This window comes from Homo sapiens, chromosome 13 (assembly GCF_000001405.40).
Source record: "Homo sapiens chromosome 13, GRCh38.p14 Primary Assembly".
Taxonomy (NCBI): Eukaryota; Metazoa; Chordata; class Mammalia; order Primates; family Hominidae; genus Homo; species Homo sapiens.
The window spans coordinates 43,248,916-43,270,029 of record NC_000013.11 but is presented as its reverse complement, the minus strand read 5'-3'; the positions used below and the strand labels follow the sequence as shown (position 1 = coordinate 43,270,029).

The 21,114-nt window shown below is 39.6% G+C and overlaps 1 protein-coding gene across 27 annotated transcripts in view; it reads left to right on the top strand.

Moving 5' to 3' along the window:
• The window catches only part of ENOX1 (ecto-NOX disulfide-thiol exchanger 1), a 573,843-nt gene that overhangs the window by 516,943 nt on the left and 35,786 nt on the right, over positions 1–21,114 (top strand). For 23 of the 27 annotated variants that reach the window (NM_001347965.2, NM_001347963.2, NM_001347971.2 and 20 more), the window contains 2 exons: positions 453–560; positions 4,576–4,632. In NM_001347965.2, coding sequence (NP_001334894.1) covers positions 453–560; positions 4,576–4,632 — 165 coding nt within the window. The remainder of the gene's footprint in view (positions 1–452; positions 561–4,575; positions 4,633–21,114) is intronic. The other 4 variants (XM_047430424.1, XM_047430426.1, XM_047430427.1 and 1 more) reach the window with 1 other exon arrangement.

The following is a 21,114-nucleotide window of genomic DNA, read 5'->3' as shown; positions in this document are numbered from 1 at the left end:
CATAACAGAGAAAGTAAAAGGATCTTTTGTGGTCCCAGCCACTTGGCAAAGTAGCTTTATAGAGTTACTGTAAAGCTAGCTTTACTGTAATATGTGAAATGAAGCAACGTTGGACAAGTTGACTATATTATAATTTTTTCATCTATGAATGTAATGTATTAGCACTATCCTATATAGTTTTACAAATAGGCATTTGCTCAAAGGAATATAATGATGCCTTCACAAATATGAAAACAAGTTTTGTGCATCAGTATCACAAACAACCTAAAGTGTGTCAAAACTGCAATGCCCTTGATACTTAGTGCGGAAAACACACAAGGTCAACTGAGGTCTGAATTAAGCTTCAAGACTTGTAAACATCTTCTACTCATAATTTTGAATGGGTATTGTGGATATTTTTAAATCACCTGACCTTCAATCCTACTTATGCTAAATATCCTTTAATTTCACAGCAATTGCTAACCATCCAGGAGGAGTTAAACAACAAAAAGTCAGAATTGGAACAAGCAAAGGAAGAGCAGTCCCATACACAAGCGTTACTAAAAGTCCTGCAGGAACAAGTAAGTGAATGAAACAGCTCTGATTTATGAATCAGTCCAAACACCCCATTGCATACCTCCCTTGTGCGTCACCCGTGCAAACATTTACTGAAAGTAATCTGCAGTACAATTAGTCTGAACCCTGTCAAACTTCCTAGCAGCTTTGCTATGCGGAATTTATAACCTCATTCCCAGCATCGCTATCCTCACTCCTGTACTTGTTTAGATTGCCCAAGCCTGCCAGTGTTGTGTGAAAGTTTCTTCCAGAAGACAATCAAATTTCGATAAAGTTTCAAAATACTGGCAATGAGGTATGTTTCAAAGTAAGCAGCTGGTTTCCTCTTAAGTCTAACAGTGAGGAAAATGAGTTCAGCATAACCCATGAGACTCCTGCAGACACATGAACAAGGACTGATTCATAGCAACATTTAAAAAGTATCTTCCCTGTGCATCAGGGTACTTATCTAACCATGGTGAGCAACAGACCTTTTATATGAAGTTTGTAAACCTGATCATTTCATTCTGGCTTTCTTTGATACAAAAGTGTGGCCTGACATTGATAAGTGGATTGGAAAGTATTGTCTTACAGCAGGGTAAGATGGAACACTCGGCAGGCAGCAGAGTGAAATCTAAGCCCACTATCTACATGAGAGGAGCCAGGAGAGCTCTTGAAATGCCTTCCTATTTCTGGCCTTCACTTGCTGCCAACAATGTATGAATGGTAATTTGAAGGAAAAAGTTGCATACAGTTACCCCAACCCTCTGTGAGTAATCAAATGCAGATTGTTTTAAATTTTTCATACACATAATCGTTTTATATTGTATAAATAACCTTACACTGTATACATAACTTCAAAGGTGACATTTGAGAAAATATAAAGTCAGCTCTGTGTCACTTTATGAGTGATTTTTTTTTAATGGTTTGGGGTCCAGAAAATATCTTTTTAGTTATTTTCTCCCAAAGGTATGAGTGATTTGTGAGAGAAAAGTACAGATATTAGTTTATAAACCTTTATAGCTTTGGAAGAAAATGCTTTATAAAACTAATAATTATCTTTATATGATGAATATAGATTCAGTAACTTGTACTGAGGCTGACTCTGTATGATTTCAGATATAGTAGATTGAAATGAAAAATCTAGTTGACTGAATTCACAATGACCTGCAGTTGAGGAGACCTGAAATCACTGTGCTTTCCACTGTTATATTATGAAAAGACTCCCAGCAAAGTGGAACTGAGTTGGTCCAAATTTGCTCCAAATCAACCAGATATAGCTCTGAGCTTTTGTTGTTTTCTGCTCTCTCACCCCGATTTTTTTTCTTTTAGATAGCTTTGACTAGAGTGGGGAGGGGTGAATTTCTCTTTTCTCTAAATGACTCAAATCCTTTATTTTGAAGTCCAAACCCTAGTCATAAAAATAGATTCTGAGTTTTGCTGAAAGTATTGATATATCTTGTTGTGGCATGCATTTTTAAAGAGCAGAGCACACACAATTATGGGTGAAACATCACACTTCACTCTCCATTATTTTAAAAAAAAGAGAACGTGAAGAAGATTCGAAACAGCTAAAATCATTAAAGACCTAGAAAATACAATTGAGAAGGAAGAATTTTAAATCTGCAATATTAATTTCAATGGGATAGCTCTTTACAAGCACAGATACCAAGAATCTTTAAGCCTGACACCAAATGTTTTTGGGTGCTGGTGCCATTACCAAGCTGTTTGTCCAAGAGCCCCTCACCTGCTACCCCTTGGTGGTTCTTGCAAAAGGGGCCATGCAGGGTACAGGTTTCTTTCCATGTCCCTGTACCCACACACAGATGTGCACTGATGACACCTCTCACCTCCACTGACCACTGCCTTTGAGGCTTTCTTTGGATTTGTGTAGAGTAACTCTATGCGTAAACAGTTTCAGTGCCCACATAGATGTGGCCTAAACAAATGGACACATGCAGGGAAAGATACACCCTGCTCTGCAGATTTGGAATGTTGCTATTCACAGGATTGCCCCGTGCTGGGAATCCTGACAAGAAAGGATAGGTCCTGAGGGCAGACCTTTCCCACCCTCAGGCCCCAGCCCCTCCAGGGAAGGCCACGCTAACCCCTAAGCTCTCAGTCTTCCCATTTGCGAAGATGCAGCTTTTCTAGGTCCCTCCAGGCCCCACTGACTCCTGCCTTTCATCTCATTTACAATGAGGATAGCTTCCTACCTCTGGAGCTTGTTCACAAACCTCAGTTTCATCAGACAGGATGTTCAGCCCTACCTGGGGGAGAGTAGCAGCTAAAGGAGAGAAGAACAGGGAGCAGAGAGAAGAACAAAGCAGCAGCTGTCCTGGAGCTGCAGCTCGAGGAAGGAGAGGGGTGGGCTGCAGCGGGGAGGGGTTTCCTCCACGGTTCTGGCAATGGAGCACAGCGGAGTGAACAATGCCAGGAGACAGGGAGTGAGGGGAGAATAAACAGGAGCAGAAAAAGCGAGAGCAGAGTTAGAGGACATCATGGAATGGGAAGAATGGAGTTTATTTAAAAGAGAGGAGAGCAACTGGCACATTTATGTTGGTAAACACGTAAAGGTGGAACAGACATTCACAAAATAGTCCTCTACTTCTGCTGAAAAAGAACAAGACCTTCTGAGCTAACCCCACTCGAACTCATGGGAGCACAAGCTACAGGACCTAAGGTGGGATGAGCAGAGAGGTTGATGAAGATGAGGGATACCTACAATAAGAAACCCTCAGCTAGGAAAAGAGTGAGGGGATTTTAAAAAGTCCTTTTGTGTCCTGTGATAATAGACAGTATTCCTATTATTGTGGCACACCTCTGCCTTGTCATATATGCCATACATCGCCCATGCTCCCCTGTGTCTGTTGTGTGTAGAACCATCAATGATGTTGCCCTAGAGAACAGTGGGCAGACTTTTTTCTTAAGTGGGAGTGATATGGAAATGAGCCAAAGAGCCTTTGGTCCATAATCAACTACCTGATCCTCAATTTCTTCATGTTACCATTCCTTTGGCAAAACCCCTTCTTTGGCATGGAGCGGGTAGGGCTTTTTTTTGCTGGGAGTTTAAGACTGGCCTTAAAAAACTAAAGAAGCTTTCATTTTAATATGCACAAGTAGCCAGAAGGAACCAATGTTATGAATCAAACACATTGGTGGTATATGTGCATTGATTTTCTTTCAAATCTTAAGTATTTTTTCCTACCATGAATACTTTGTATTAGGTATAAAAAAGATAATGGAGGAGATGCTGCTTTCCTAAGTCAGGAAAAAATACTGGCAAAACAGTTGCAAGCCAGCTCACCCTCTTCCTTTGCCGTCTGATTCTAAATGTCTGTTTTGCGTCAGGATAGGATAAAATGACAATTAAAGGTTTCCTGAAACCTCCTTATAACTGATTACTCCTAAGCCTCTGAGAAAGAGAAATGTTTTCAAATGTTCACTGCTAAAAATCTCATTAGAGAAATATAATTTCTTCTAATGCCTCAGCGGCCAAGGAGATGTCATCCAAACTCTTTCTCTACCAAAGAAGCAACCGTCTTTAGTCCTCCAGAGATGTCAGTCATTCAAATATATTCTCAAGGAGGACCTGTCTGGTAGCACAGTAGCATGTTAAAAGCAGCTGAAAATGCATCATTCACGAATAATCGTTAATATAACATCATTTTGCTGGTGGCAACTTGCAAACACTGCAGGGTTTAAATTAATAGCAATCCAACTAGGAAATGAAATCATTTATTATTCTTAAGAACCAATTTTATACATTTTATGCCTATGGAACTGCTTTCTAATCTTATTATTTAAAAAATAATGACCAAGACCCATTTATTCTTTTGCCAGGCATCAAACTTCATAAAATATTGGTCTCAAACTGGCTCCAATAAGGCTCATTAGAAATATGTGCTCCATCTGTTTTATCTCATTGGAAGTTTTATAAAATGCAACCTCAGATAAATCAGTTAACAAGATGATATACTTAAGAGATTTGCTTGCTTATTCATTTTTTTGTTTTGTGTTGTTTTTCCTTAAAATTTGCAGTTAAAAGGTACCAAGGAATTGGTCGAGACCAATGGCCACAGCCATGAGGATTCAAATGTAGGTACCACAAACCTGGTATTTGTTCTTCTTGCTTGACGTTGGTTGAACACATGGGGATGTAGCACTTTATCTACCACATAAAGGAAATCAGAAGCTCTGCCTGTCAGCAGCTTAAGATTAATATATGGGTTTGGCAAGAAAATGTGATTGACAGGCACTGCTATTGTCAGCCTAGTTTATCAAATGTCAATTTAGAAGTATGTGAGCTAATCCCCACCATCAAAAATTCTAATTTCAGTGAGTCTGTTTGAGCTCTTTGTATTTCCAAAACTATAACTGATGATATACTGGGAGGGAAATAGCAAGAGACCCGACAGGGTAATCAGTTGCGCATTGCATGTATATTCATTAAGTTTGCCTGCCAGCGAAGGTGGTACCTAAATGACTGACATGCTGAAAAGGTCTCAGAGAAAACCCCTTCTCTCAGAATAGCCCTTGAAATGTACTCCTTCTCTGTTCCTCACCCAGAACAGTAGCACAGTGCATCCATCTTCTTGATAAAGAATAATGTGTGATGGTACAAGATCCCAGTTACACCGTGACTTCCTCTCTTAGTGTTCCTTGAATATCCAATTGTCAAAAAGTAAACAAGTGTTCTTTTTGCCTTGAAAGTTCTTTAGTCTCAGATGGAATATTATACCCTGTAGATCATTGCCTCTCCATATGTTTGATGATTTTGTCTTTTTTAAATCTCTCTGATATCTGTATTTGATTATCCTCATCAAAGAAAATGCTTACTAAGCAGTTCTTTTCACTGAACACAGAATTAGACATGATAATGAATGCCTGATTACACTAGAGCTAGGAGAAATTATATATTTCTTGTTCACTCTTGTTTTAATTATATACAACAGAGAGCCTAATATTCAGAGTATCAAAAAAATCCCACTTAATCATTATTGTTCCTACCCAGCAGATATTTAACATATGATGTTTATTGAGGACTTGTGTGCTCATAGGACTCTGCTAAGTTCTAGGGGAACAGAAATGGGGGTTACAAAGAAATATAAGACTAGTTGTCTGCCCTCGGGGAACTTACAACTGAGTTAAGGAATTAAGAAACACATGACAAGATACAGGACATGATAAGTGTACAGGAAGTTGAGGCAGCTATGATGTGATGTAGTTTGAAATCCAGACTTTGCTGCTTATTAAATGTATCAGCCTGACAAGTTACTTAACCTCTCTGAGCTTCCTTTTTCTCACTTGTAAAAAGAATGGCAAAGCCTATCTCAAAAGCATGTCATAATATTGTAATGAGCTAAGGCCTGGGAAAACCTTAAGGTGTTACACGTATGGTTTCTTTGTGCTAGATAATCAAGAAAGGTTTCCTGGATCTGTGGGACTTGGGTTTGGTTTTGGGGAGTGAATAGGATTGAGAAAGTAGAAAGCCAAAGGAGGAAGCCATTCATACAGAGCTCCCCATAGGCAATGTTGTGAGACATAGTTTATCTTTCCACTCTCATATTCATGACCCTCATCCTTACCCTAAAACCCTTCTTCAGCACCCTGTCTTCCAGGGACACAAGGCTGCCACATTCTCAACCAAAACCTTCATATCCACTCCACACACAGCCAGTCCCTCTGTGGCTTCCAGGGAAGCTGCTGTCTGTTCCAATAAGCCAGACAAAGTGGCAGTAGGCCTCAGTTTCCTGGTTTGTAAAATGGGGATAACTCCTACCTTGCCTTCCTTAAGGCTTATTGTGAGAAGCAAATGAGAGAATGTATGTGGAAGTACTTGTAATTGTGAGGTTCTAGCTAAGATGTTTTGATTATAAATTGATCTGCTGATTGAATTAGATGATACATGTATAGACAGGCCTAACACAGTATCTAGCCCATAGGCCCTTTTTGAAAAATTTTAAAAGTCACTTATTATTCAATGGAAAAAGTAAAGTGAGATAATCTTCGAGGTCTTTGTCCCTTCTACAGGAAAGTTTTCAGCTTTTTTAAGATACCTGTCTAGAGTCTATGACGTAGGCTTTGTTATCAACTCAAAGCAATGACTGTTGAGAGATGGGGTTCTGGCTCAGTAGGAAGGAAGAGCAGCACCTTGACCTAGGGGGTGGGGGAGATATTTGTGAAGTAACAGAACCTGACAGTCCTTGCCAGTCACTGCGGGTGGCCACCTCCCTCCCTAGGCAGAGGGCTGGGCTAATCTTTACAATCACTGCCTGTTTTATCAGGGGTTTCCCAGGTGGTGGATTACTTACTCACCCTCTTTTCTGTCTGAACTTTGTCTCCTTTTGGAAGTTTCCCCAGTACCTCCACTAGGGTATGTGAAAGAAAAGAATTAATCATCAATTATTTTGCCCTCACATTAGGAGCACTGGCAATATTTTGCAAATCTATTCTTAAATGTCTGAAATGAAGTCTACGTCTCATCTGAAGTTGCCACCAGCCTTGTGGTGGTCAAAAGAGACGAGGCCTTCAGACCCGACTGAGAGGGTTTGAATCCATTTTGATCACTGAGTAGCCATGTGACTGAGACAAATTATTTCTGAACTTCACCTTCCTCATTTGTGTGTTAAATGAAACCATGTACATTAACACCAAGCCTAGAGTACATACTCAACAAGTATTAATTCTCTCTTCATGCATCAATAGTATTTAATATAGGCTGGGTGTGGAGGTTCATGTCTGTATTCCCAGCACTTTGGGAGGCCGAGGTGGGCGGATCTCTTGAGCCTAGGAGTTCAAGACCAGACTGGGCAACATGGCGCACCTGTAGTCCCAGCTACTTGGGAGGCTGAAGCAGGAGGATCACTTGAGCCCAGGAGGCAGAGGTTGCAGTGAGCCGAGATCACACCACTGCACTCCAACGTAGGTGACAGAGCGAGACCCTGTCTCAACAAATAACAAAGTATTTAATATAGCAGACAGGACTTTTGGCAGGATGAATTTTAAGGCAGAACACAAGGTTTAAAGCCTCTGGACCAAAGGCTATTGTCTGAGACAAATAAATTATTTTTCATTATAATTATTTATATCTGGGGGCAGGAATTTCATGCATTATCATTTATTAATAACAATTATACAGTGGACTGGTGCCAACTTAGCTGGGTGTTCTTGTGAGAGCTGACAATTGTGTTTTTAAAACCACTATGTTTTATTATAAAAGTAAAAAGCAAAAGTATGTTTGAAGCTTGCAAATTATAGAAAGAAAAGAATATAGGGGTAAGGAAAAAAAATCTTGGTATCTCATTACTCAGAGATAACCACCATTAACGCTTTATTTTAGTTTTTTCCAGTCATGTATATGACCAGAGGGAAAAGCCCATAAATAAATGAATAAATAAATACTATCATCTTGTCTTCAGTTTTGTACCTTTTTGATTTTTCATTATATTATTATAAATATTTTTCTTGTCACCAAATGTTCCTCAAAGACATGATTTTTTTTTTATTATACTTTAAGTTTTAGGGTACATGTGCACATTGTGCAGGTTAGTTACATATGTATACATGTGCCATGCTGGTGCGCTGCACCCACTAACTCGTCATCTAGCCTTAGGTATATCTCCCAATGCTATCCCTCCCCCCTCCCCCCACCCCACAACAGTCCCCAGAGTGTGATATTCCCCTTCCTGTGTCCATGTGATCTCATTGTTCAATTCCCATCTATGAGTGAGAATATGCAGTGTTTGGTTTTTTGTTCTTGTGATAGTTTACTGAGAATGATGATTTCCAATTTCATCCATGTCCCTACAAAGGACATGAACTCATCATTTTTTATGGCTGCATAGTATTCCATGGTGTATATGTGCCACATTTTCTTAATCCAGTCTATCGTTGTTGGACATTTGGGTTGGTTCCAAGTCAAAGACATGATTTTTAACGGCTGTATAATGTAGATGTGAAATAATTGAACCACACGCCTGTGTGTCAGGCATTTAACTTCCTGTTTTTGCTATTATAAATCTGTAATTAACATATCCATAAATCTTGGTTGCATCTCATATTTGTTTCTGGGGGATTCTGTATATTAATAGCTGTGTGGTGGAGTCTGACAGGGAGCTTCAAACTTCTGGAATTGCCTGGCATTCAGAATGTTGGTGCAGCTGCTGCACCCTTATAGTATCTATTAGTCGTCCTGAAGGAATCCACTAAAGGATACGTAGAGTCTTGTATTTCCTCATTTGTCTTAGTCTCAAGACTCATCTAGCTCATGGTCTGTTAGTATTACTTTTCTGTTGTTTTTACGTTCTACTGTGTACCACCAGGATCTGACCAACACATTGTCCAGCATGCTTGAGGTCTCAAAACAGACACACCCTTAAAAAGCCCAACCCTTGCCCCTTATCACAAGATCATCTGCGAATGCATGCCCAGGAGAAGTTTTCTGAAAGCAGATTTAAAACTGTTAGGGCCAGAAACTGACGTCAACTGCAAAGGCCTTGTTCTCCAAGAGGACTTGTGCAGTTCACGCTCATGCCTGCTGGTTGTTTTCTCTTTGTAGTTGGAACTGGATATATTAACGACAGATAGGCAAGTCAACCATTTAAGTGTAACCAAATTTAAAACTAACCTTTATTCCAGTTTCTTTAAGGATTTCAGTTGTTTCAGACCCAATTTTCTTTCCTGGAAAGCAAACCTATAAATTTTCTTTTCATCTCTGTCTCTGAGCTATCTCCACGTTCCTAGGACTGCTGAATAACCTGGTCCCTGGTAATTATGTATAACAGATATCAACATCTTAAATTGTAAATATATATGTATATATATCATGTTCTTATCTTGCATCTTTTTTGATGACCTTCTTCCCAGCAGGATCGCCACCTATGATCCTTGCATGTGTGTGTCTGGTGGAGGGGAAGGATGAGGAGGGAGAACTGTAGGATCAGGTAGGAGGAATGAAATGCAGTGACAGCTTCAGCCAGCAATGTTTAAAACAATTTGATCTAAAAGCTTTCCATGAATTTTCTCTCCTCCTGTCCTTGTTTCTGTTATAGTAAAGTTGCTACCTCACATTCCTCTATTTGCTCAATTCACACTCCCACACTGGGGTTAAAGAAATCATTTGCAATTTGTAAAGAGGTTTAATTGGTGATGCTGAAGGTTGCCACTGTCAAACAGAACACCTTCCCATTCACCAGTGAAACAAAAACACAAAAGAAAAAAGACTTTTCAGTTTTTCACGTCACCTCCTTAAGAAAGTAAATCCTCAGAGCTGTCTTTAAGTCTGTCAGAGTAAAGACGTTAGGAGCGTATGGAAGAGATATGTGCAAAGAACATTCTTCAAGTTTAGTACAGCACAGCAGAAGGCTATCATTAACCATGTATTTTAATGATGTATGTGAGGGAACCTCTGCATGTGCTGAGTCCTCTGCTCAGTTTCTGAATGTAGCTTCCACCCTTTAGGCAGGGAGGCGTGAGAGAGAATACATACTGATGTACCAAACAAGGCAAAAAAGAAAAAGACAACCTGTACGAAAGAATGGGACCGTATCTTCTAAAGGTAAAAAACAACTCAGGCTGGATTCTTTCTTCCCAGAACTTGCTGCTTGGTCTTAGGGGCCCCGATCTTGAACTGGGAGAGGAGCAGACAAAGCAGAAAGGGACAAATATAAGGTTTCACACCTTCCTCACCCCAACCCACAGCTCTATCAAAAGGAAAATAAGGCCGGGCACGGTGGCTCACACCTGTAATCCCAGCACTTTGGGAGGCCGAGGTGGGTGGATCACGAGGTCAGGAGTTTAAGACTAGCCTGGCCAAGATGGTGAAACCCTGTCTCTACTAAAAATACAAAAATTAGCTGGGCATAGTGGCACATGCCTGTAAATCCCAGCTACTCGGGAGGCTGAGGTAGGAGAATTGCTTGAACTGGGACTCACGAGGCAGAGGTAGCAGTAAGCCGAGATCGCACCACTGCACTCCAGCCTGGGCTACAGCAAGACTCTGTCTCAAAGAAAAAAAGAAGGAAAATGAGCCCAGACCCACCAGGACTAAGCCCAGCAAGCACTAGCTTGGGACCAAAGGTGTTGCAGCTCTTGCATCCTGCTCCATATGTTTCTCCTTCCAGCCTTCCTCCTTGCTGCCCTTGACCTGTACAGAGACCTCATTTGTGTCCCCACACAGCCTGACATCACTTTCTACTTGGTACACCCACAAACATTCATTGAGGGAGGCAGCAGAGTGTAGAGGTTAAGAACAGATCTGGACATGAAGCAGCCCAGTTTCAATCTGAGTGACCCTAAGCCATACACTGAACCCCTGCACTTCCATTTTGTTCACCTCCAAAATTAAGGTAATAACCATACCTACCTCATAGGGTACTGTGAGCCTTGCTTTGCAGTGCTGATGTGATCAGCATGTGTTAGACATTACTGTTACCCAGCCTTGGACACACTGGGCACTGGGCAAGGTTTTGGAGACCCAGTGATGAGTAATAAAGATGGGATTTCTGCCCCCACATGGAGCTGACTCCATGTCCTCATGCCTTTCACTTACCAAAACCTGCTAGTCCTGTTTCATTCCATCAGGCCTCATTCTCTGCCTGTAGGTCAGTATCACAGTGGGAATGATGAGCTTGAAGTAATTTTATTTGTATTTTTCCAGCAATCCTCTGGAGACGAGACCTTTTTTGGAAGGACTGGCTCCATGGTAGGCTTGGGAGGAGAGTCTAGTAGGAGTGGGGCACAATGAGTGGTACAGAGAACTTTACGGCCTCCAGAAAAGCTCAACTGGAAAATCAGGAGCCACTTTGTCTTCCCTTTAGAGAGGGATGGGCCCATATCTGTAGATGTCTGAGGTCACCTTTGCTCTGCAGATGCCTGAAGTCAAGAAGTTGGATTTTTCGTGGACTAATATTTCCTTTACCCTATTGAATATATTACCCTGTCCACATATTAAATGCTCATACCCAGAACTTGCTCTTCTCCCCCAGTTATAGCCCTGTAACATTATTGCTTTTCTCCTGCCAATGTTTCCTTCCCCACCTCTAACCCTGCTCTCCCTCTACAACCCCTGCCCCTATGCAGCTGCCTTCTTCCAGCTGTTTCACCACATTTTCTGCTGTGAATTAACTGTATGTGCTGCAATTCACTGTGAAACCCATAGTTCCAACTGAAAAAATCCACACATGTCCCAACCCAGCACCCTTGAAAAGGTCAATGATTGCAAAGGTACCTTGTTAGGACACCCCCATCCCAGCATGTACAGAGCTCCAAGGAAGGATTAGAGAGGGAACTGCTGTCAAAAACAGACAGAAGCTGGCTCACGGTGAATGTTCTTGTATCCAGTCAAGGCTCAGAGAAGTTTCCTTCCCAGACACCTCAATGCCAGCTGACTATGTTTCCACTGCTGGAGGCTGGGGCTAGAAGTTTGTCCTTTTTATCAGGGCCAGAGTTGGTGGTACCTGCTTGGTCATTAGTGAATTTGGAGCATGTAACAGGATTAGCAAGTTTAATAAAGCTGACAGATTGAGTTTAGAGAAGTGAAAATACCTTCTTCCTCCAGGCCAGGTTAGAGAAAATCAGGCAAAGGAAACAAATTTCAGTGCTGTGTGAAATGGTCTGACATGGACATGGATACCTGTATAGATAAAACCAAGATCTGAACAAAAGTTACCCATTTTGGAGACAGAATGTCCTCCCCCAGAAAGGTTCATGATAATCCTACCAGAGATAAATGCAAAAGCAATTGTTTTGAATGGAGATTGGTAACTTTTATAGAGCCAATATACATACATATAAATATGCATAAATACTGTTATCCCTAAGTACCATTTTCTTTTTGTGGAAAATGTAGAAATGCAGAAAAAATAAAAAGATAACCATTTGCCATCTCACCACTCACAAATCAGTTTCCACTTCTTTGTATTTCCATTATCTTTGTTTATGTGCATGTATATACATTTTTATCAAATTTATAGCATATCATATGGACAATTTTACAACCTACATTTTTCTTTATCAATAATGAGCATTTGCCCATGTTATTAAATAGGTTTTTAAAATGTATTTTATCAGTGCATAATAGATGTACGTATTTTCAGGTACCTGTGATATTTTCATATATTCATATAATGTATAATGATCAAATCAGGACAATTGGATATCATCTGCCTTAAACACTTTTCTTTATTCTATGAACACTCAAATTCTTCTCTTTTAGCTATGTTGAAATATACAATAGATTACTGTTAACTCTTGTCAACCTACTGAACTATCACACTCTATCCTATCTAAGTGTATTCCTGCACCCAATAATCAACCTCTCTTCATCCCCAACCCTAACCCTGCCTGGACTCTGGCAACCAGTCTACTCTCTAACTCCATGAGATCCACTTTTTTAGCTCCCGCATACGAGTGAGAACACGTGGTGTCTAACTTCCTATGTCTGGGTTATTTCACTTTACGTAATCACCTCCAGTTTCATTCACGTTGCTGCAAATGACAGGATTCCATTCTCTGTATGGCTAAATAGTATTCCATTGTGTGTATATATATATATCACAGTTTCTTTATCCATTCATCTGACGATGGACACTAGGTTGATTCTTTATTTTGACTATTGTGAATAGTACTGCAATATATCAATACATCTCTTTGGTATATTGATTTTCTTTCTTTTGAATATATACCCAGTAATGGGATTGCTGGATCATATGGTAGCTCTATTTTTACTTTTCTGAAGAAACTCCATACTGTTTTCTACAACAGCTGTAGTAATTTGCATTCCCACTAACAGCGTGCTAGGGTTCCCCTTTCTTCAAATCCTTACTGCCATCCATTATTTTTTGTCTTTTTGATAAAAGCCATTTTAACTGAGGTGAGATGACATCTCACTGTGGTTTTGATTTGCATTTCCCTGATAATTAGTGATGTTCATCTTTTTTTTTCCATAAAACTGTTGGCCATTTGTATGTCCTCTTTTAAGAAATGTCTGTTCAGATATTTTGCCTATTTTTAATCAGATTATTTGTCTTTTTGCTATTGAGTTCCTTATGTTTTAATTCCTTATATTACGGTTCTTAATCACTTGTCAGATGGAGAGTTTGCAAATATTTTCTCCCATTCTGTAGGTTGTCTCTTCAGTTTGTTGATTGTTTCCCTTTCTGTGCAAATACTTTTTAGCTTGATGTAATTCCATTTGTCTATTTTTGCTTCTGCTGCCTGTGCTTTTGAGGTTTTCCTCAAAAAATCTTTGCGTAGACCAGTGTCCTGGAGCATTTCCTCAATGTTTTCTCCTAGTAGTTTCATACTTTCTGGTCTTACATTTACGTATTTAATCCATTTTGACTTGATTTTCATACATGGTGAGAGAGAGGGGTCTAGTTTCATTCTTCTGCATACTGTTTTCCTAGCACCACTTATTGAAAAGACTGTCCTTTCCCCAATCTATGTTTTTGACACCTTTGTTGAAAATCAGTTGGCTATAAATGCATGGATTTATTTCTAGGTTCTCTACTCTTAACAGTCTTATGTGTTTGTTTTTATGCTAGTAGCATGCTGTTTTGGTTACTGTGGCTTCATAGTATTTTTCTGTTTCTATGAAGAATGTCACTGGTATCTTGATAGCGATTGCATTGAATCTGTAAATTGCTTCGGGTAGTATTGACCTTTTTAACAATATCACTTCTTCCAATCCATAGGCATGGAATATCTTTCCATTTTTTTGTGTAATCTTCAATTTCTTCATCAGTCTTTCATAATTGTCTAGAGATCTTTTACTTCTTCACTTAAACTTATTCCTAGGCATTTTACATTTTTTTAGCTATTGTAAATGAGTTTTCTTGATTTCTTTTTCAGATTGTTTGCTGTTGGCATATATAAATACTACTGATTTCTGTACATTGACTTTGTATCCTGCAGCTTTACTGAATTCATCAGTTCTACCAGTTTTTTGGCCGAGTCATTAGGGTTTTCTAAATATAAGATCATGTCATCTGTGAACAAGGCTAATTTGGCTTCTTCCATCCAATTTGGATGCTCTTTCTTTCACTTACCTAATTGCTCTGGCTAGGACTTCCAGTATTGAGTAAAAGTGGTAAAATGGGTATTCTCATCTTTTTCCAGATATTAGAGGAAAAACATTCCGTTTTTCCCTATCTTGTATGATGTTAACTGTGTTTGTCATATATGGTCATTATTATTTTGATGTATGTTCCTTCTATACCTGGTCTGTTGAGAGTTTTTATCATGAAGAGATGTTGAATTTTCCCAAATGCTTTTTCACCATCTATGAAATCATCATATGGTTTCCATTCTTGGTTCTGTTAATGTGATGTACCACTTTATTATTTGCATATGTTAAACCATCCTTGAATCTCTGGGATGAATCCCACTTGGTCATGGTGAATGGTCTTTTTAATTTGTTGCTGAATTAGGTTTGCTGGTATTTTGTTGAGGATTTTTTGCATCTATGTTTATCATGAATATTGGCCTGTGGTTTTTTTAATAGTTTCAATTGGATTACTATTTGTTCTTCTTTTTTAATATGTGGTAGAATTCAGCAGTGAAACCATCAGGTTCTGAACTTTTCTTTGTAAGAGACTTTTTATTACTGCTTCAATCTCATTACTTGTTACTGGTATGTTCAGATTTTCTATGTCTCCATGGTTCAATCTTGGTAGATTATATGTGTCCAGGAATGTATGCATTTCTTCTAGGTGTTCCGATTTGTTAGTATATAGTTATTCATGATAGACTCTAAGGATCATTTGTGTTTTCTGTGGTATCAGTTGTTTTGTGATTTTTAATGACTGCCTAATATTTCATGCCACAGATGTACTCTAATTTCTTTAATCAGTCCCTGCTGTGGGACTTTAAAATCTTATTTTTGTTCTCATGGATAATAAGCAGTGGATATTGACAATGTATTGGTTAATTCAGCTATCATTTAAAGCAATTTATAAATAGGGAAGCTTTTGTACTTGATTGGAATTTAGGAACAGAGGAAGATTCACTGATTTTTTTTTAATTAAAGCTAAGCCCCTACTTGGTAAATAATGAAATAAACAGCCCATAATAATGGCTAGATATTACCACATAGAGAAGAGACTGAGTTCCTCAACAGGAGAGGAAATAGCCTCAATAATATTTGCATTTTGAAGAGAAAGGCAAATTTTATATACTACATAAATAATTTAGGAGAACAATACTTAGATATATTATTTGAGGTCGTGTGCTGTGAACTCTATGTCCGAACCTTCTTTGTGGCCTAGGGATTCTAGAGCCTATGCTCTGTATGGACCCCAGACCAAGGTTAATGGCCATCCGTACCCAAATGAGACTTGTCCATCCTCTCGAGAAAATATGTGAGATTAAGAAGAGTGATTAATTTAAAGTTTAACAAAATGAGTTCTAACCCAACCCCAAAATTAAGCATTTATTTCTACTTATGGCCAAGAAGTTCCAGGTAAGCTCCAAACCATCAACAAGGGATGCATATACAAACATACAGACATGACTTGCATGCAAGCAATATCATTTTAAAGTCAAATAAACCTAGAGGGCTCAATTACGGTATTCCTGCCTCACAAGAGGTATGGCTTAGCACTGCCTGATACCCTGAGCAACAAGGAACAGGAGGAACATTCAGTAGCATCTATGGAAAGAGTCGGGAGCCCAAAAGGTGGACAGAAGCAGATTACCCTAGTGCCTCATGAAGGCAGCAGGGGAGGGGACAAGGCACCAGGATTAGTGGTATAAAAGCAGCCAGGAGCAAGGATGCACCAGCAGGTGAACTCCCCTTCCTCTTAGTTCTGTATGCTACTCAGGAGCCATAGGGCTTCCTAGACATTTGTTTTTATGATTTAGATTATTAAATATTCCATAGTGATTTTCGCACCACTTCATTTCTGCTAACCACACGTGAGACCAGGAAGGGGAGAGTTGTGAAATGCACCAGCCAGTGCTGGTCTGACTCCATCTTTGACATTGGTCTTTGGCAAGGATTCCTTGCCTGGTACTCTCCAGCTCTCCCAGGATGGTTCTGCAGTGCTGCAAAGGGCAGTCATTCTCTATTTCTTCACACACTGCTCATCTCCAACCTCATCCATCTCATTGACACATAGCTCACTGGGATGTGGCATTTCTTTGAGGAAATATGTAGGAAAATGACAAGGAAAAAAGTAGGTACAAAGATAGAATGAAGAAAAAAGGGAAGAAAGGCGGGAAAGACTGGAACAGGAAGAGCTGCCTAAGTGTCGTGGTGCCCTGCGTGTCAGCCCTTCTAAATTGACCCTGGCAGGCGGCAGAGCAGCAGTTTTCACCATCATGCAGCTCTCCTGCCAACTCTAGCTGTGAAATCTGCTTGCATCAAAGGTATGTTTGCAGTTGCACAAATATCCACACTTAATGAAATGCTTATCCTAAAATAAGGCTCTTGAATTGGAAGCAAAAAAGCTCAAATGTCAGTCTACAAGTAACATGTTTGGTGGTCTTCCTGGGGGAAACAAAGATTGGACTTGGCAATAAATATGTTTAAATTTCCCACAACAAACTGGAGTGTGTCTTAATCCTTCCAACCTCAAAACTCTTCCCAGCTCTGATGGAGATCCCCCCTTCCCTTGCTGGGGCCTAACAGTGAGAACTATCCCCAGTTGTGAGTTCATGGCCACCAAATGCAGCTACACCTTCCCTCCTTACTGACCTGCCACCATGCCCAGGGGGACCTGACATCCTGTTTGTAGCCAGCTATAACTGGGCATTTAAATCAAACCTCCAAGACTATGAACCCCACACTGGTGGCTTTAAATCTAACCTAGGGTCTCACAAAAGTCAGAAATTCAGCAAACTGCACCTCAATGTTTATCTCCTCCACGTGTTCCTAATTCAGGCAGAGCAAAAGTTGAATTTGGAAGGAAAGCTGTTGCCCAAAGGAAAAGACATTCACATGTTTTGTTACAGTTTTAAATTATGTTTTTATCGAAAGACAGCAAGAGTTTCCTGAAGAAGAAAATAAAAAGAAAGAGTGCATTTCTAAGCTGTGCAGACATCAGAGCCAGGGAAGTCTTTCCCTGTCACCCTCTCTGGGCAGCAGCACCTTGCCAGGTATATGGAGGCCATTCTCTGAAAACTCTAGGTTCCCCTGAAGACATTCCGCCAGGCTTGGAACACTTAATAGAGCAGAAATCTATTAATTTTTTTTTCCAAGAAAAACCTCAAAGTCTCAGCTTTCCCAGCTTGAAACTGTCCTTGCAGGGGAGACTTGTGGCCGTGATGCTCAGTAACACGTCGTTTCTATTGTTCTATCAGCCTCTCTGTGAGATTACAGAGTGGCTTTCTCTGTCTGGACAATTTCCAGACTGTTCAGTGTACGCTGGTGAGCTACTTATGTTTGAGACTTGCAGAATCTAATTTGCAAAGGCAATTTCTTTCCATGCCAACTTTTAGGAAGATGACTTGAAACTATGGGAACAGTATACAACTACAATCTATATCAAGCCCCAGTACCTGTGTCAGTATAATTCTCTGTCCCCTCACTACACACACGCACAATCACACACACATATATGCATAACATATAAGTCTCACAGCTGTAAGCATATATATCATTCCTGACCATTTTATATGACAGTATTCAAACTAGTCCCCTTGGTGAAAATGGAATAACCATCAGCCTGGTATTCAGAAAAAATGTTGGCCTGATTTCCTGAATAAATGGCTTGAGTCAGCAGGTCAAATTCAGCTTGGTGCACCATTCATTAAAAATTCTAAGTAATTAGATTTTGTATTGATAACTCAGCTTCTCCATCTATCTTATCGCCCTTTTTGTCTGCAATGCAAATTCTGCCTGTTTTTAAGCCTACCTCAATTCCCATTTCTTAGGTCCTTACCCTAAGATCAGTCCAAATCAATCACCATCTTCTCTAGATTCCTACAATTTATCATCATTCCAACCATCTTGAACAACCCACTTCTGACAGGCTTATCTCCCCAACTCAGATCATGTTCCTTAAAGTGGAGAATTTGTATGTATTCCTTGCAGAACCTAACACAGTAATGAGCCTATGCAGGTAGATACATTAGTAACACTCATCGATTGATGATTGCATTGATGGAAGTGCAGCAGCCTCAGTCAGCTCATGAATCTGTTTGGAGTGGTTAGGTGAGAAGTACAAATCTTCCTTCTGCATATTATCTGCAGGTGATCTTGAAGATAAACACACATCACTCCAGTTAACTTTAAGATGTGTATAAAAGTCTCGTGGACTGACAGTTAAAACTGAGGTGGTAGAGATCACATCATCCAACTTTCTTATTTTACAGGTTTTAATTAGATATATGTTTTCTTGTCTAATTGTTGTGCCTGTGAGTCTTATGTTCTCTGAGGCTATGCTTCTCGAACTTTAATAAGCAATCGAATCAAAGATAGCTTTTTAAAACACAGATTGCTGGGCCCTACCCTAGAGTTTTCCACTGGGCAGGTCCAAGCTGGGGCCTGAGAATTTGCATTTCTAGTAAGCTCCCAGATAATGCCAGTGTTACCAGTCTGTGGACCATACTTTTCCACAAACTCTCCACCCCAGGACAGGCTAGGTGCCACTCTGGGCTTCCCCAGCACCCTGGCTCTTCCTTTGTCATGGCTTATATCATACTGTATTTAATATATTTTATATGGCTTATATCATACTGTATTTTAATACATTTTACATAGCTGGCTGCCCTATAGACTCCTACATTCTTTGATAGCAGGAACCACTATTATTCATCTTTGAATCTTGTTGTCTTAACACAAAATGTACCCTTATTGTAGGTACTCAATAAATGAAAAGAGGAGGAGGCTCAATAAATTCAATCAAATTATACTGAACTGAGGTGTACAGATACTTCATTTAATCCAAATGTTGAATTTTGCTGCCATTCAGCCCCCAAAAGAAAATACATCATTAGTAATTGTGAGACTCTGGTTCTTAAGAAATCACATTGATTTGGATAATATGCAAAAAAAGTCAGTGGACCCATAACTAGCCGCTCCTAACAAGGTCCATCCAAGTCCACATGACAGGCACAATGCCGCCTGTTGGGAGCACATTGGATCACAGAGCAGTCACTGTCCTCCAGGAGCACATGCCCAATGAAGAGAGGGCACACAACTGAAAAGGGAACTCACTCAAGACTGACTGCAGGCTTCTCAGTAAGGAACAGACTTGGGGTGGGATCAAGGGCTTGAACCAAGTGGAGAAGCTATAGTTTCCGGAGAGATCATTCAGACAGAAGGCAGCATGGACTAAAGGCCCTGGGGTATCACTGCCTGGGGCCCAGTCATGATGCCACTAACTTCCAGGTGTGTGAACTTAAGGAAGCTACTTACTATTATTATCTCCATTTTACAGATTAAACAGCGAGGCATACTTGTGCCTCAGTGTTTAATCTATAAAATGGAGATAGTAAGAGACCAGCACCTGCCATCTACCAAGCACTCAATAAAAGCTGTTAGTATTATTATCACCACTATTATTTGTATTATTTGGTTTATAATCAGAAGATCTCCAGTGCACCATGCAGAAGCAATCAGGAACGCTTGGTTCTTGGAATAGTTCTCATGTGTGGCATATGCAAGGCAGCGGTGAATAGAGAGAATTCAATTTGGGGGTGTGAGAGAAGGAAGATATTCAATGTTTACTAAGATCTCACAGTATGCCAGGAAAACCTTGTAAAATTTGATTTTACTTTAATAATAATCAAATCTTTCTCTTTCTCATTTATCAGATTGTGTCCCATCTATTTTTATGACCTAATTTACCACTAGAAAGGTCAAAAAACCCTCTAAATTTTAATATTATCATCAGTAACATAAACTCAGCAGGTGAAAATTATGATAGTGGGTGCTTTGTAGCAGAGAAAAATAAGAAATGTCATACTGAGAAATGAACTGAGAAAATAACATGCCAGGAGCACCATAATAAAATTAATCTTTACCAGCAATAGAGTTAGTATCATACAAGATAAATCAAACCGACTAATTCTGGATGCACATACATACATTTTTAAAAAGTATTTCACTTGAATGTCTTCTGTTTGCTGCTCTAGTTTTATTGGTTGAGGAGATTTTTCATGTTAGTACTTTTTCAGACTGTGAAGGGCGTGGACTTGAGTAGCTATAGCAGTGTGGGTTACATTTTCTACATACTGAAGAGAAACACACAGCTATTTTTGAGATCAAGTGTATTTTTTCATTTGGTTATGTCTACAGTGGCATATAGTAAAACTAAAAATAAAATACTACAACAGTTTAAATAATGAATGGGGTTACTGGATACAAAGGAATTTTTTTTTTCTCATTTTTAGATCATTTTTGTTTAACATGGCTGTCACAAAACTAGACCAAAAGAAAGTCATTTCATTGCCAGCTTGAGACCACAATTTAAGCATGGTGTGAACTGTGATAGTCATTATTAAGTTATGATCCAGGCAGCAGTGATCCTCTTAGTATTTAATGGGAAACATTAAGAAATTGAAATGATCCTTTCCTATCAAAGTCTCTGTTCTTTATGTAGAATATTCTACTTGGGGGCTATATATGTATCA